This window comes from Homo sapiens, chromosome 16 (assembly GCF_000001405.40).
Source record: "Homo sapiens chromosome 16, GRCh38.p14 Primary Assembly".
NCBI lineage: Eukaryota > Metazoa > Chordata > Mammalia > Primates > Hominidae > Homo > Homo sapiens.
In genome coordinates this window covers 2,709,288-2,723,880 of record NC_000016.10, presented here as the reverse complement: position 1 = coordinate 2,723,880, position 14,593 = coordinate 2,709,288, and the positions used below count along the sequence as shown (strand labels likewise).

Genomic DNA, 14,593 nt, shown 5'->3' with positions numbered 1-14,593 from the left:
AACACAGGAGGCGAAGGTTGCAGTGAGCGGAGATCACACCACTGCAGTCCAGCCTGGGAGGCGATAGAGTGAAACTCTGTCTCAAAGAAAAAAAAAGAGTCTTGCTGTGTCGCCCAAGCTGTAGTGCAATGATGCAACCTCAACTCACTGCAATCTCTGCCTCCCAGGTTCAAGTGATTCTCCTGCGTCAGCCTCCCCAGTAGCTGGGATTACAGATGTGTGCCACCATGCCTGGCTAATTTTTGTATTTTTAGTAGAGACGGGGTTTCACCACAATGGCCAGGCTGGTCTTGAACTCCTGGACTCGAGTGATTGCCTGCCTCGGCCTCCCAAAGTGCTGGGATTAGAGGTGTGAGCCACCACACCTGGCCAAAAATGTCTGTATTTCACTTTCACACCTGACTGAGAGTGTGTGGCTATTGCTGCTTACTGACCAGCACCCTTCCCTCTTCCTTTCACCATGCCCAGCCATGACTTCTAACCTTAGAAAACTGTCCCCCTTCCAGAGAGTTGATAAATGTCCAATTCAATTTTTTTTTTTGAGACAGAGTCTCGCTCTGCCACCAGGCTGAAGTGCAGTGGCGCGATCTCGGCTCACTACAACCTCTGACTCACAGGCATGAGCCATGGCACCCCGCCCCAATTCTATTTTTGAAGGGAGGGACTGATTATTTTAAAAACATGGCCGGGCATGGTGGCTCATGCCTGTAATCCCAGCACTTTGGGAGGCCGAGGCGGGTGGATCACCTGAGGTCAGGAGTTCGAGACTAGCCTGGCCAACATGGCGAAACTCCATCTCTACTAAAAATACAAAAATTAGCTGGGCATGGTGGCACAGGCCTGTAATCCCAGCTACTAGCGGGGCTGAGGCAGGAGAATCGCTTGAACCTGGAAGGCAGAGGTTGCAGCGAGCCGAGATCGTGCCACTGCACTCCAGCCTGGGAAACAGAGCGAGACTGTGTCTCAAAAAACAAAACAAAACAAAACAAAACAAAACAAAACATAAAAATCTTTCTGGATTGTAATGCCCTCTTCATTTGTTTGGTGGGTGGTATGAGGAAGGGGCCCATTCTCAGCCCTGGGTCCGTGGGCTCCAGGTACAGGGACATGGAGGCGAGGTCTGGGTTCCCGATCCTCTAATCGCTGGCGTGGCTGTGCCTTGTTCTTCAGGAGCCCAAGTTTCCCTGGCGTCCTCGCTTTCTGATCTGCATCTTTTTTTTTTTTTTTTTTTTTTTTGAGACAGAGTCTCGCTCTGTCACCCAGGCTGGAGTGCAGTGGCGAGATCTTGGCTCACCGCAAGCTCCGCCTCCCGGGTTCAGGCCATTCTCCTGCCTCAGCCTCCAGAGTAGCTGGGTCTACAGGCGCCCACCACCGCGCCCAGCTAATTTTTTGTATTTTTAGTAGAGACAGGATTTTACCGTGTTAGCCAGGACGGTCTTGATCTCCTGACCTCGTGATCCGCCTGCCTCGGCCTCCCAAAGTGCTGGGATTACAGGCGTGAGCCACTGCACCTGGCCCTGATCTGCATCTTGACTTTTGTCACTTTCTTGATTTTAAGGCAGAGACACCCTTAGAGGAATGGGCTTAAAAGGAGGGTTGGGGAGCAGACACCAAGGAACACACAGAAAGGTGCCAAGAGGAAATAGTTACCTGCGAGGCTCTAAGACTGCCTCTGAGATCCCATCAGTGACCTGACCATAGGGTGCTGGAGAAATGTGGTCACCCAGACACTTTGAAACACTTTCCGTGGTTGATAATTATTATTCTCCTTTTTTTTTTTTTTTTTTTGAGACAGGGTCTCACTGTCTCCCAGGCTGGAGTGCAGTGTTGCAATCTCGTGTCATTGCCATCTCCGCCTCCCGAGTTCAAGTGATTCTCCTGCCTCAGCCTCCTGAGTAGCTAGGATCACAGGTGCCCGCCACCAAGCCCGGCTAATTTTGTATTTTAGTAGAGACGGGGTTTCACCATGTTGGCCATGCTGGTCTCGAACTCCTGACCTCAGGTGATCTGCCTGCCTTGGCCTCCCAAAGTGCTGGGATTCCCGGTGTGAGCCACTGCACCCAGCCCGTCGCGGTTTATAATTAGAGATTTCTCTGCTAAATGATGTTCTCTCTCTCACACTGAGGTGAGGTCTGTTTGGGTCACCTTTGTATTCCCCAAACCGGGGACAGTATTGGGCTCAAATCTGCTCAGAAATGACTGACTGACTGAATGAATAAATCAATACATGAATGAATACGTTTGGAGTCCCCTCTTCCCACTCCTCGCCCTCCCTCCTTCCCTCCAGACCCCCAGGGGCTGCCCAGCCCGCCTCCCACCCCCGACCCGGGAACTCCAGGGACTGGACGGGGAGGGAAGGGTGGGAGGAGGCGGTGGAGGCGGAGGCGGAGACGCGGGAGGGCGGGGCTAGGGAGGGCGATGCGGGGAGCCGGAGCCCGGACCATGAGGCTGGGAGCGCCCCTTCTGCACCCCTGGCCGCCCGCGCCGCGCCCCGCGCCCACCAGAGGGCAGCACCACGACGCGCGCGGACAAGGCTGAGGCGGGAACGGCCGCACCCCCAGCCCCGCCCGGAGCCGCCCGGCCCCGCCCCGCCCGCGAGTACCGACCCCCGGCGCCGGCGGGGAAACAGGTCCGGCGCCCCCGACCCCACGGCCCGGCCCCACTCTGTCTCTGACGTCAGCGCCGTGCCCCAAATAACTTCCTCCCCGAGCCTCTTCCGCCGCGGCGCCGCGCCCAGAGCCAGGCGGGGACACCGAAACGGTAACCCCGGCCCGGCCTTCCCGGAGCCGCTTCCGCCCCGCCTGGTGCCAGGAAGCCCCCGCCCCTTCCAAGGGATGGCAGCCGGGGCCCGGGTCGGCCGCCTGGGCCGCGCTGGCGCGCGCCTGAGGAACTTCTGGGGCCTGCTGTCCCGGGAGGAGGGTCGCTGCGGCCAACTCCGGACCCCGCCCCATGTCCCATCGCCTCCCCTGCCCTCGGCCCCGCAAACACCCCTGGCCTTGACTTTCCCACCAGCGCGGCCCAGCCCCACTGTGTTCCATCGGCGCTCAATAAAATACTGAATGAGGCCGGGCGCGGTGGCTCACCCCTGTAATCCCAGCGCTTTGGGAGGCCGAGGAGGGCGGATCACGAGGTCAGGAGATCGAGACTAGCCTGGCCAACACGGTTAAACCCCGTCTCTACTAAAAATACAAAAAATTAGCCGGGCGTGGTGGCACCTGCCTGTAATCCCAGCTACTCAGGAGGCTGAGGCAGGAGAATGGCTTGAACCTGGGAGACGGAGCTTGCAGTGAGCCGAGATTGCGCTCCAGCCTGGGCGACAGAGCGAGACTCTGTCTCAAAAAATTAAAAAAAATAATAATAATAATAATGAATGAAGCTGGACGGACTTCGCGTGCACCGCGGTCAGCTCGGGGTCTGCTGGGGGGTCTGGGTCAGCTCAGGGTCCAGGAACCGAGGCCAACGGCACCCCGTGCTGCGCTGGGGTGAGGGGTCTGCCCTGGGGTCTCGGGGTTCAGGGCTAGGTCACGGAGGAGTCGGCTCTGGGCGCTTCCTTCCTGAGGAGAGGAGCTGGGCAGGCCGGGCCGACGGGTTGGGCCGCATAGCCGGGCCTGTGCTCATCTCCAGCATAAAACTCCACTTCATGGAGCCTGCACCTCGCTCGTGCTCCAACGCTTCTGCCACCGCCGACCACGGCCCTGCGCCCCAGCCAGGCCTGAGGACATGAGGCGGCCGGCGGCGGTGCCGCTCCTGCTGCTGCTGTGTTTTGGTGAGTCGTGAAGGTGCAGGGTCCTGGTGGTGCAGTCCCCCACCAGGCTCCGCTGCACTGCCTGGGGCTCCGGCTCAGCCCCCTACTCCCTGGGACAGGCTGGGGCTGTGGGACAGGCCATCATCCCTCCTGCCCCTGAGCAGGTGGGAAGGCTCCAGATGTGCCAAGTGGGGAGTCCAAAGTGGGGAGGCAGGGTGGGAGGTGTGCGCACAGGCCCCAGAGGACCCCACCGGCATAACTGGGCAGCACCTCCTCCCATGCCTCTCCGCGGGCACTGGTGTGCCAGCTCTGGCCAGGCTCCCTGCTTCCTGCCACCTCGGCCTCTCCCCCCATTCTCTAGGTGAGGACAGGGGCCTCCTACGTGCAGGATGTGAACTCAGGCTCCAAGTGCCTGGACCATCATACTCGGGGTGGGAGGGTGGCCGAGCCGAGGGCTGCTGCCTGTGCCCGGAAGCCCCAGCAGGCTGGCTGCAGGCTCAGTAGAGAGCTGGGGGCAGGGGGTGTAGGTGGCAGAGGGCCCTGTCTCCTGCTGACAGAGGAACCGGTGATGCGCCACCGTGCCCTCTCCCAGTCCTGGGTCAGGGACAGCAGGTGCCAGCCAGGGGGCCCCACCTGCCAGGCCCCTCCCTGCGGGCCGGGACACTCTCTGTCAGGGAAAACCTCTCACATTCCTGGGCTAGCCTAGCCAGTCTGGCAGCCACCACACTTCCCTGTCCTCAAGTCACCTCCCAGGGCTGGGTCAGGTCATCCCAGGCTGCAGCTTAGCCAGTACTCCAGGCTTCCTTGTTCTCCTGGGTGGGAGGGCACCAGTGGCCCCTCAGTGGCCCGGCCTCCCCCACCCCATGCCCCCAGTCTCCCAGCACAAGGATGGTGCCCTCTGAGCAAGCCATGTGCACAGGAGGTGGAAGGCTGTGACTGCCCCTGAGCGGGGTGAGGAACCAAGGTCATTGCCAAAACTCTTTGGCAATGAGTTTTGCAGTCGGTTCACTAACAGCTGTGACCAGAGGCTGGACTCCTGGACACGTCCTCACTCCCAGCCCGAGGGTGGCACTCCCACCAGGTCTCTGGCTGGTGGTACCCACTAAGCTTCACCATCCCCACCAGCTACCAGCGAATCACAGGCCCAGGCCCCAAACAATGCTCCTGACACCCCCGGCACCCCTGGCTGTTGCTTCCAGCCCCCACAGGGCGCCCACCCTGAAGGGCTCAGCTGTCCACATCCCCCATTTCCCATCAGCCCCCACAGCCACACTTGTGTCCATCCACACATTCCCTGAGATCAGGCCCCCCAGATGCAGCCCTTGCCTTCTCGGAGCTCCTGGGCTAAGATAAGACTTGATTCTGGCTCCAGGGTGATGTAGACAGAGCTCCCATCAGGACAGAGAGCTCAAGAGAGAGTATAGGGCTTCCAAGGTAGACAATGCAAGCAAGCAAGGAAGGCTTCCTGGAGGAGGCAGCATTCAGTTGGGCCTTGATCTCTAGATCACGATTAGGACTTGGCTGGGAGCGGTGGCTCACGCCTGTAATGCCAGCACTTTGGGAGGCCGAGGTGGGCGGATCACGGGGCCAGGAGATCGAGACTATCCTGGCAAACATGGTGAAACCCCTCTCTACTAAAAATACAAAAAAATTAGCCGGGCTTGGTGGCGGGCCCCTGTAGTCCCAGCTACTCGGGAGGCTGAGGCAGGAGAATGGCGTGAACCCAGGAGGCGGAGCTTGCAGTGAGCTGAGATCGCGCCACTGCACTCCAGGCTGGGCAACAGAGTGAGACTCCATCTTAAAAAAAAAAAAAAAAAAAAGACTAGGACTTATGGAGACTGGGGGAAGGGCATCCAGATTGTGGGGTGAGGGGAGCAAGCACTCAGAGACCAGAAGACTCTGCCTAAATGAGAAGTACAGGGCTACTTTAGGAAGGAAGGATCTGCATGGGGAGGAGGCATCGCTGAAGGGGCAGTGCTCAGGCAGGGAGCATGGAGACACAGCTCCTGCAGACTCCCAGAGAGCGAGAAGGCCTGACAGTGCGCGCCCTTCTGCAAGCAGGATCCTCAGGCTTGGAAGGAGCAAGGGGTCGGGGGGCCAGGGAATAACCCTCCCGGTAGTGTTTGCATTTTAAAGGGCACTTAATTAGCACAAATTAATGAGCAGAGCATCCAGGGCAGACTCTCCATTTCCCGTTGCCCCTGACCCCGCTTCTGCAGGGCACCCCTTTGCCTGCCCTGCACCTTCTCCACCTCCTCCTCCTGCCCATCCACAGCTGCCCCCTCGCCGCCCGCTGCCTTATCGTCCAGCAACCCCCGGGGTGTCTCTGCCCACCAGTGGTGTTGGGGAGGGTGCCCCCCAGACTGTGAGGCAGACAGAAAGGAAGAGGATGCCGTAAAAACCCTGGGGGTGCTTGGGCCCTCCATGGCCACTTCCTGTCCCCACAGCCCCTCAACTCCAGGGGACTGGTTATCTTTTCCGGGCAGAGTGAAGACATGGTCCATAGCAGCTGGCCCGGGCACCGGAAGGCACTGGGGGTTAAGGGGAAGCTGAGGGCCTAGGTGTGGGGAGGTGGCTGTTCTAACCCCTCCCCAGCTACGGGCGAATCTTGCCCCCACAGAATCAGACGCGTGGAGTGCAGGGGTGGTGAGAGGACTCTCTCAAGGCCAGGAAGTTCCAGGCTTTGCTACCCTGGGGCTGTACACTATGGTCCTGGCTGGGGTCTCCAAGCTGGGGTAGAGGCTCCAGTGTTTGGTTAAAGGCCCAGCAAGAGGCCCTTTGTGTCCTGGGGTGTGGGAGGCAATGGACAGCAGAAAATATGTTCCCATCCTTGGTTCCCCCGAACGACCCCATATCTTGCTTCTCTTCCGGGCCCCTCACTTTATCCGCTCCAAAGCCCCCTTGCACAGCCCAGCAGGGGGTCCTGGGCCTCGTCTGCCAAGCCTGCTGCATGCCTGGGAGAGGGGTCAGCTCTTGGGACTCTGGAATCTTGAGAAGGCTGATCCCTGGTGGCCAATGCAGACCACTGTACCTTCTCTACTCCCCTGAGGCCAGGGAGAAGCCTGTGGGGCTCGGGCCTCAGCCTCGGGACCAAAGTGAGACTTGGGGAAGGAGCTCATTCCGGAGCAGACTGTGAGAGAGCCCTGGGCAGCTCAAATGTAGAGACAGCTCCCGGGCCTCTTCCGCTCTGAGCTGTTCCGGGAGGAAAGGCCAACCTTACAGTGCCAGGGCTGGAGGCTGGACCCTCCCCAGAAACTTCCAGACAAGGATGGGTGTGGAGTGTGGAGGGAGAGGACCCTTTCCAGGATGAGAAGGGGACATCTAGCCTGGGGATCCCTTCACTGGCATCTCCTGACCGGCTCCCCATGTGGCAAGGAGCATCCACCCTTGCAGATAAGCTGTGGCCCATGGGCCTGGGCCTGAGCATACGGCAGAGCCAGCCCTGGGGGGGAAACTGCAGGCCCTTGGGCTCTCCGGTGAGGTCCCTCTGTGGACTGTCCCTCTGGAGTCCTCAGGAGCTGGGGAGGGTCAGTGGAGAGGGGCTGCAGGGTTGGGGAGGGCAGGCCAGGCTGCAGCTGGCCTGGCTGATCACCCTCTCCTCACTTCCAGGGTCTCAGAGGGCCAAGGCAGCAACAGGTAAGCACCCAGGGCCCTGGGGTGGGAGGGACAGGAGCCGGCTGGACTGAGCCAGGGACACTCATGGCCAGAGGGAATTTGGAACGCACAGGACACTGGGGAATTCCAGAGGAGGGGAAAGTGGGGGCTGTGTGGAACTGGAGCCCAGAAAGGAGAGGAGGAGGAAGGTCCACACAAGAGCAGGACGGGCAGCACAGAGCCTTGAGGCGCGGTGCAGGATGAGGGCGGCAGGGTCTGAGGATCACCCTGAACCGTGACTGGCCCCCTCTGGGTGGCTCCCTTGCAGAGGGCTTGACACCTGTTCTATCCTTCCAGGCACCTGTTTGGGTCAGGCCCTGGGACAAGACCCTTCCCTGGGTTATCTCAGTGCCTCCGTGGCCCCCAAGAGGCAGGTGTTAGGTTGCCTTTCTCGGCGAGGAGAGTGAGACTTTGGGGGGCAGCTGGGGAGGGTCTGCCTGTATCCCAGACTGCCCCGAAGCCCAGGCCTCCGACTTCCCCAAGGTCTTCGGGCAGGTCAGGGGCAGGAGGGCCGAGGACTGGAGTGTGAGGCTGAGAGCTGGGCCTCGGCCATGGAACCAGCCCCAGTGAGCGCCCCCACCCGCTCCCCATGCTCCCCCAGCCTGTGGTCGCCCCAGGATGCTGAACCGAATGGTGGGCGGGCAGGACACGCAGGAGGGCGAGTGGCCCTGGCAAGTCAGCATCCAGCGCAACGGAAGCCACTTCTGCGGGGGCAGCCTCATCGCGGAGCAGTGGGTCCTGACGGCTGCGCACTGCTTCCGCAAGTGAGTCCGCCCGCCCCTGCCCCCGCCCATAGCGCTGACAGCGCCCCGCGCGCGACCGGTTCAGCACCGTGGACAGCGCCCGCCGCGCCAAATCCTGCGGGTGACCTCCCTGGGGGCTCCTGGTCCAGCCCCTCCCACCCAGATGCTTCCCTTAGGTCCAACTCCAGGGCTAACTTCCAGTTGCAACCGCTGCTCCCGCCCGCGGGAGGTGCCTCGCACCGCCCCCCGACCCCCTCCATCCCCTCCACCCACTCACCCACTCCCTGTGGGTCCCTGCAGAAGCGGCCCGGCAGGCTCTGCCCACCGGCCCCTCCTGGCCTTTCCCCATCCCGCACACACCTCAGCTCCAGGACACTCTTCCCGGGAGGAACTCTGCTCACAAAGCCCAAGGACCAGACAGAACGGCCCTTCCTCCCCTCACCCACCTGAACCACCCCAGAAAGCCCTGAGCAGAGGCCAGGCCACCCAGCCCTCTGCCATGTATGAACCACCTGGTCCCACACCTTCCGGGTGTCCCAGGCCCCCTCACCTCACACCTCAACACCGCAGCTCTAATTATTTTAAACCCCACATCTTTTTCTTTTTTTTCTTCTTGATCTTTAAAAGAATATCATGACAAAAAAAACCCCACATCTTAAATTCAGATACTCACGGCCAGGCACGGTGGCTCACACCCGTAATCCCAGCACTTTGGGAGGCCAAGGCGGGCAGATCAGTTGAGCCCAGGAGTTCAAGACCAGCCCGGGCAACACAGCAAGACCCTGTCTCTACTAAAAATAAAAAAAAATTAAAAAACAAAAAACAAACAAACAAAAAAACCCCAGGTGCAGTGGTGCCTGTGGTCCCAAGTACTCAGGAAGCTGAGGCGAGAGGATGGCTTGAGCCCAGGAGTTGGAGGCTGCAGTGAGCTACAGTTGCACTGCTGCACTCCAGCCTGGGTGACAGAATGAGAACTCTGTCTCTAGGGGAAAAAAAAAATCGGAAACTCGGGCTGAGAGAGGGCAGGTCACCTGCCAGAGGCCCGCAGGTGGGGCTGGCCCTGCTGCACCTGGAGGGTGGTTCTCTCCGAGCCAGCCTTTCAGGTAGGCACTGTGACTGTCCCCACAGCACAGGTGAGAAAGCTGCATCACAGAGAACTTGTTAAGTGACTTGCCCAAGGCCACACAGCGGCCAGGGGTGGAGGTGGAAATCTGAGTCGGGCGGTCTGGCTTCAATGTCAACACGCATCACCGCTGCACCTGGCTGTCCTAGAGATGACTCTCGAAGACATTGTGCAGAGAGAGGTGTGGGGCACGGTGGTGGCCAGAGGAGCCCCAGCCCCTCCCGGGCCTGTCCCCACACGAGGGGCCGCCTCACGCCGCCTCTCTGTTTCTCCCGCCAGCACCTCTGAGACGTCCCTGTACCAGGTCCTGCTGGGGGCAAGGCAGCTAGTGCAGCCGGGACCACACGCTATGTATGCCCGGGTGAGGCAGGTGGAGAGCAACCCCCTGTACCAGGGCACGGCCTCCAGCGCTGACGTGGCCCTGGTGGAGCTGGAGGCACCAGTGCCCTTCACCAATTACATCCTCCCCGTGTGCCTGCCTGACCCCTCGGTGATCTTTGAGACGGGCATGAACTGCTGGGTCACTGGCTGGGGCAGCCCCAGTGAGGAAGGTAAGGGGACAGGGCTGGGAAAGAATGGGGGATATGCCTCAAGAAGGCCCAGGACGGCTTGGGGACCACTCTGAACCCACAATCTTCCTGTTGCTATATTAATACATACACACGGTCTCTGTTCACACAGGTGGGGCCGAGGGGAGCAGCAGCAGACCCAGAAGGAAGAGGGGGTGAAGGGAGAGGGGGACAGAAAGGGCCCAGCCTGCTGCCTGGAAGGAGGGAGGATGTCTGCCCCACAGTGCCCTAAGCCAGAGATGGTCTAAACATGAGGAAACGACAGGCAGGATGGAGTGGTGGTTCCCGGGGCCGTGGGTTCTTGATGAGGAAGTCCGTTGAGCCCTGGGCTGTTCCGCCCCTCTCCAGACCTCCTGCCCGAACCGCGGATCCTGCAGAAACTCGCTGTGCCCATCATCGACACACCCAAGTGCAACCTGCTCTACAGCAAAGACACCGAGTTTGGCTACCAACCCAAAACCATCAAGAATGACATGCTGTGCGCCGGCTTCGAGGAGGGCAAGAAGGATGCCTGCAAGGTGGGAGCAATGTGGTGTCCATGGGGACTCAGTCCCCACCGCCAGGCCCAGGGCAGGGTGGGATCATGCCCCGCTCCATGGGCTATGCATTCAACCAGCTGAGCAGCTTGTTTTGAAAAGGCAGATTCCAGGGCCGGGTGTGGTGGCTCACGCCTGTAATCCCAGCACTTTGGGAGGCCAAGGAGGGTGGATCACAAGGTCAGGAGATGGAGACCATCCTGGCTAACACAGTGAAACCCCATCTCTACTAAAAATACAAAAAATTAGCCAGGCGTGGTGGTGGGCGCCTGTAGTCCCAGCTACTTGGGAGGCTGAGGCAGGAGAATGGCGCGAACCTGGGAGGCGGAGCTTGCAGTGAGCCGAGATCGCGCCAGTGCACTCCAGCCTGGGCCACAGAGCAAGACTCCGTCTCAATAAAAAAAAAAAAGAAAAAGCAGATTCCTGGACCCCACCCCAGAAGGATCAGAGTCAGTGGGTCTGGGGTGGGGCACAAGAAACTGCATTTTCAACACACACACACACCCTAGTTGATCTGGGGACACTAAAGAATAGGCACTTTAGACAATCGGACTGGCAGGGGATGGGGAGCCGGGCAGAGAGGCTCTGGGATGGAGAGAAGGAATCCATTGCGGAGCTACACACCTCCTGTGCGGCTGCAACTGAGTCTCTGGGAACTCAAGGTGGGCTCTGACGGTGACTCTGCGTCCCCCGCAGGGCGACTCGGGCGGCCCCCTGGTGTGCCTCGTGGGTCAGTCGTGGCTGCAGGCGGGGGTGATCAGCTGGGGTGAGGGCTGTGCCCGCCAGAACCGCCCAGGTGTCTACATCCGTGTCACCGCCCACCACAACTGGATCCATCGGATCATCCCCAAACTGCAGTTCCAGCCAGCGAGGTTGGGCGGCCAGAAGTGAGACCCCCGGGGCCAGGAGCCCCTTGAGCAGAGCTCTGCACCCAGCCTGCCCGCCCACACCATCCTGCTGGTCCTCCCAGCGCTGCTGTTGCACCTGTGAGCCCCACCAGACTCATTTGTAAATAGCGCTCCTTCCTCCCCTCTCAAATACCCTTATTTTATTTATGTTTCTCCCAATAAAAACCCAGCCTGTGTGCCAGCTGCCCACGTGGGGATCCTTGGGGGACCCCGGCGGGTGAGGAGCTGTGAGTTGCAGGATGAAGCCCAGGTGGGAGATGCGGAGTGCTCTGGTCATCTCTGAATCAGCAGAAGGGAGCTGCAGCTGGTGCCCGAGGCGAGGACAGCACCAGAGTATGGGACCCCTGTCACGGGCCCCGCACAGGAGGCCACCTGCTGCCACCTGTGCCTCTGTTCTCTCACCTTAAAGGCCGCCCCAGGGTTGGCACTGGGGACAGCGACGGACACAGGTGGAAAGAGCCTCAGGGCCATGCAGGAGCTGTGCCGGGGCGAGAGGAGGGCATGGAGGGACTGGCTGGGCGGGGGCACCTCAGCCTCCCAAGCCTGCACTTCCGGCTGCCCGTGTCTCGGGGCCACCCAACTTTTCTAAACCACTTCGGCAGGAGTGGGTGCCCACACCTGTGCTTTCCTGCTCCACTGCTCCTGGCACCCTTCGTCTCCCTGTGCCCCGGCGTCTCCCCTTGACCCTTGGCTCCTCTTCCTCCGCCCCATCCCTCAGTCTCCACCCCCATGCAGGAGTCCAGAGCAGTGCGTGGTGGCAAGGGGATTAGGCTGGACATGCACATCACACCCACACGCACCCGTGCACACACACACAGGCACCGTGGCCTGTACAGCGGCAGGAAGAAATCAGGCCCTGAGTGTCCACCAAGGAATCAAACCAACACCCACTCAGCAAGCAGCTGCTGGGGACACCGTGGGGAGCAAAACAGAAGGAATTCCCCGCTGGGCCCGACCCATCTCCCCAACGGCTGCCCAGTGGCCCCCGTGGGCCATTTCTTGCACTCCTCCAGCCCAGGGGTGGGTGGGCAGGTCTGGGGGGCCTGTGCGCACAGCCCCATGGGGGAGCAGATGCACGAAGCCCAGGTGGAGGGAGAGGCAGGCCCAGGGAGCAGCACTGGGTGGTCCTAGCCAAGCAGGGACTGGCCAGGCCTCCCAGCCTCGGAGAGCCCTGGGTGAACCTGCACCCTGCTCTGGGCTGTGCAAGGAGCCCCAGGCCCCCGTGGTCAGAGGGGAGGCTACAGGTTAGATGGTCTAGGGAGGGCAGCCCCTGCTGTCTTTGTGCTGAGACCCCACCCAGACCCAGGATGTCAACAGGCAGATGCCCGTGGGAGAGGAGCAGAAAACACTCTCTACAGAGACTAGGGGTTGAGAAGGGAAAACAGGGCTATTTCATGCAATTAACAGCTCCCACGAAGCATGCCGTGAGAAGGACGTTAGGAAGGGAATAGTCCAGGTTGCCACAGGTCCCTTTTCCATCCTGGGGCGGGGGTGCAGCTCAGACTTTGCACGCTGCTGCCAAGCAGGGCTCTGAGCCATCTGCCAGGTGGGCGGCAGCAGGGCCCCTGCCAGCTCCAGGAGGGACTCGAGGGAGAGCCTGGCACAGGCCCGCGCACATTCTGTGGCTCACAGGGAGGTAGGCAGAGCGGGCGGCAGCCTTCATCCCCAGGCTCAGCTGGCCCATGTGCACACATACACACACCATTCCCATGCCACTCACAGGCACACACAACACATGCATGTCACATGCCACACACAGGCACACACCACATACCAAGCACACACCACATGCCACACATCACATACAGCACACATGTGCATGCCACACACACCATGTGCACACAGGCACACACCACACCCACACCATGTACAGCCAGTAGGTACACACACACACACACACACACACACACACACACACACACACACAGAGCAGGAGCGGGAGCCCCAGGAAAGAAGTCTGTGGGCTCCATTCGGGCCAGAACTGCGGTGAGGGGTCAGCCACAGGCCAGGCCTCCCTGTGCCGAGCCCCAGGCCTGGGAACACTGGGGAGGAAGAGGTGGTCTGAGGGCAAAGTGACCCATCTTGGGGGGCACGGCTCAGTGCAGAGGTGCCGGAAGTCATCGTCCCTCACACAGATGCCACGTCAGGGCCTTGGTGGCTGCACTGTGGGGTCAGCTCTTCATCGCCCCAGCCGGCCACTGCCACGAGCTTTAGGAGGAAGGAGGGTGCTAGAAGTCCCTGCTGAGTGGACACCAATAAATGCAGGGATGTCAAGGAGGGTGGTGCCAGCCGCTGGAGGGCTCCAGTCATGGGCTCTACAGGAAGCCTGGGGAGGACGGGCACCCACGCAGGGCACCTGCATGTGCCCCGCCCCTGCCTCCTCTTCTGCCCCCACGCTGGCTTCCTGGAGCCACAGGGCTGGGCCCCAGTCCCCACAGCGGGCGGGCTGTGCTGGAGCCCAAGGTCTGAGGAGGAACAGGGCTCCCTCCCTGCCCAGCAGACCCAGCGGCCCTGAGCATCCTCGGCTTCAGGACCCAAACTGCAGGGCCTGTCTCCTTTACAGCCTTTTGCTTGGATGGGAAACCTGCTCCGGGCTTTGGCTGGGGACGCCTGCCACGCTGAGGCTTCTCCCAAGTGCCCACAACTCTACCTGGTCAAGGGGCTGTAAGGCCTAGCCAGGCTCCTGGTGGGAGTCGGGCAGCGGGAAGACCCCTTGGAGCAGAAACTGGGTCTCTCCCCTACTCCAAGCCCCGTGCCGGCCTCATGCTGGGCACCCAGAAGCCCAGTCACCCACTCCACCCCTCACCAGGGCCCTGGGGTCAGGCTGGGCCAGCCACACACCTGGAAACAGGATGGACAAGGCCACTACAGCCTGAGGCTCTGTGACCTCAGACAGCCAGGCCCTGGGGGACACCGTGAATGGGAATCTCCCTGCGGGGGGGCGGGGAGTCCAACAGCCAAGGCTTCGTGGAGCAGCCACCAGGAGGAGTCACAGCAGCTGGCGAGGGGGTGCCGGGACCCCAGGACCTTCTCGGGAAGCTCCTGCTGTCACAACCCAGGCTGCAGGCTAAAGTGAGGGAAGAGAGGTGGATGCTAACTTGAGGTATCAGGACTTTCAAAAAAACATCACTTGAGCCGCGCGCAATGGCTCACGCCTGTAATCCCAACTGCTCAGGAGGCTGAGGCAGGAGGATCACTTGAGCCCAGCAGTTCAAGACCAGCCTGGGCAACATAGCAAGACCCCTGTCTCTTAAGGAAAAAAAAAGGCCCTTGTACATGGTCTCCGGTCTCCCGGGATGGGGGTATGCTATCTGC

General features: G+C 60.7%; 1 protein-coding gene across 3 annotated transcripts, besides 8 other annotated features; it reads left to right on the top strand.

Annotated features, from left to right (window-relative positions):
• Positions 1,274 to 1,443: a silencer, noted in NCBI's record as "fragment chr16:2772439-2772608 (GRCh37/hg19 assembly coordinates)". NCBI's record gives its function as "represses an EF-1alpha promoter that drives an FKBP-Casp9 reporter gene in an ReSE screen in HepG2 liver carcinoma cells {active_cell/tissue: HepG2}" and the evidence as "EXISTENCE:reporter gene assay evidence [ECO:0000049][PMID:32094911]".
• Positions 2,127 to 2,196: a silencer, noted in NCBI's record as "silent region_7070". NCBI's record gives its function as "represses an Ori minimal core promoter by ATAC-STARR-seq in GM12878 lymphoblastoid cells {active_cell/tissue: GM12878}" and the evidence as "EXISTENCE:reporter gene assay evidence [ECO:0000049][PMID:35858748]".
• Positions 2,327 to 3,086: a silencer, noted in NCBI's record as "silent region_7069". NCBI's record gives its function as "represses an Ori minimal core promoter by ATAC-STARR-seq in GM12878 lymphoblastoid cells {active_cell/tissue: GM12878}" and the evidence as "EXISTENCE:reporter gene assay evidence [ECO:0000049][PMID:35858748]".
• Positions 2,327 to 3,387: a biological region, named in NCBI's record as "H3K27ac-H3K4me1 hESC enhancer GRCh37_chr16:2770495-2771062".
• Positions 2,820 to 3,387: an enhancer, noted in NCBI's record as "H3K27ac-H3K4me1 hESC enhancer chr16:2770495-2771062 (GRCh37/hg19 assembly coordinates)". NCBI's record gives its function as "activates a minimal SCP1, AML or CMV promoter by ChIP-STARR-seq in primed H9 embryonic stem cells {active_cell/tissue: H9 hESC(primed)}" and the evidence as "EXISTENCE:reporter gene assay evidence [ECO:0000049][PMID:30033119]".
• Positions 3,657 to 11,459, top strand: PRSS27 (serine protease 27). 3 transcript variants are annotated; one of them, NM_031948.5, is made up of 6 exons: positions 3,657 to 3,766; positions 7,355 to 7,381; positions 8,001 to 8,163; positions 9,545 to 9,816; positions 10,183 to 10,352; positions 11,067 to 11,459. In NM_031948.5, the coding sequence occupies exons 1-6, from the start codon at positions 3,721 to 3,723 to the stop codon at positions 11,259 to 11,261; spliced, it is 873 nt and encodes a 290-aa protein (NP_114154.1). In that variant the 5' UTR covers positions 3,657 to 3,720; the 3' UTR covers positions 11,262 to 11,459. The 3 variants fall into 3 exon arrangements, with proteins under 3 accessions (NP_114154.1, NP_001305324.1, XP_011520991.1); NM_001318395.2 differs by lacking the exon at positions 8,001 to 8,163; XM_011522689.3 differs by lacking the exons at positions 3,657 to 3,766; positions 7,355 to 7,381; positions 8,001 to 8,163 and adding an exon at positions 9,092 to 9,446.
• Positions 7,941 to 7,990: a silencer, noted in NCBI's record as "silent region_7068". NCBI's record gives its function as "represses an Ori minimal core promoter by ATAC-STARR-seq in GM12878 lymphoblastoid cells {active_cell/tissue: GM12878}" and the evidence as "EXISTENCE:reporter gene assay evidence [ECO:0000049][PMID:35858748]".
• Positions 8,071 to 8,120: a silencer, noted in NCBI's record as "silent region_7067". NCBI's record gives its function as "represses an Ori minimal core promoter by ATAC-STARR-seq in GM12878 lymphoblastoid cells {active_cell/tissue: GM12878}" and the evidence as "EXISTENCE:reporter gene assay evidence [ECO:0000049][PMID:35858748]".
• Positions 8,231 to 8,320: a silencer, noted in NCBI's record as "silent region_7066". NCBI's record gives its function as "represses an Ori minimal core promoter by ATAC-STARR-seq in GM12878 lymphoblastoid cells {active_cell/tissue: GM12878}" and the evidence as "EXISTENCE:reporter gene assay evidence [ECO:0000049][PMID:35858748]".
• Positions 11,460 to 14,593: the final 3,134 nt, after the last annotated feature.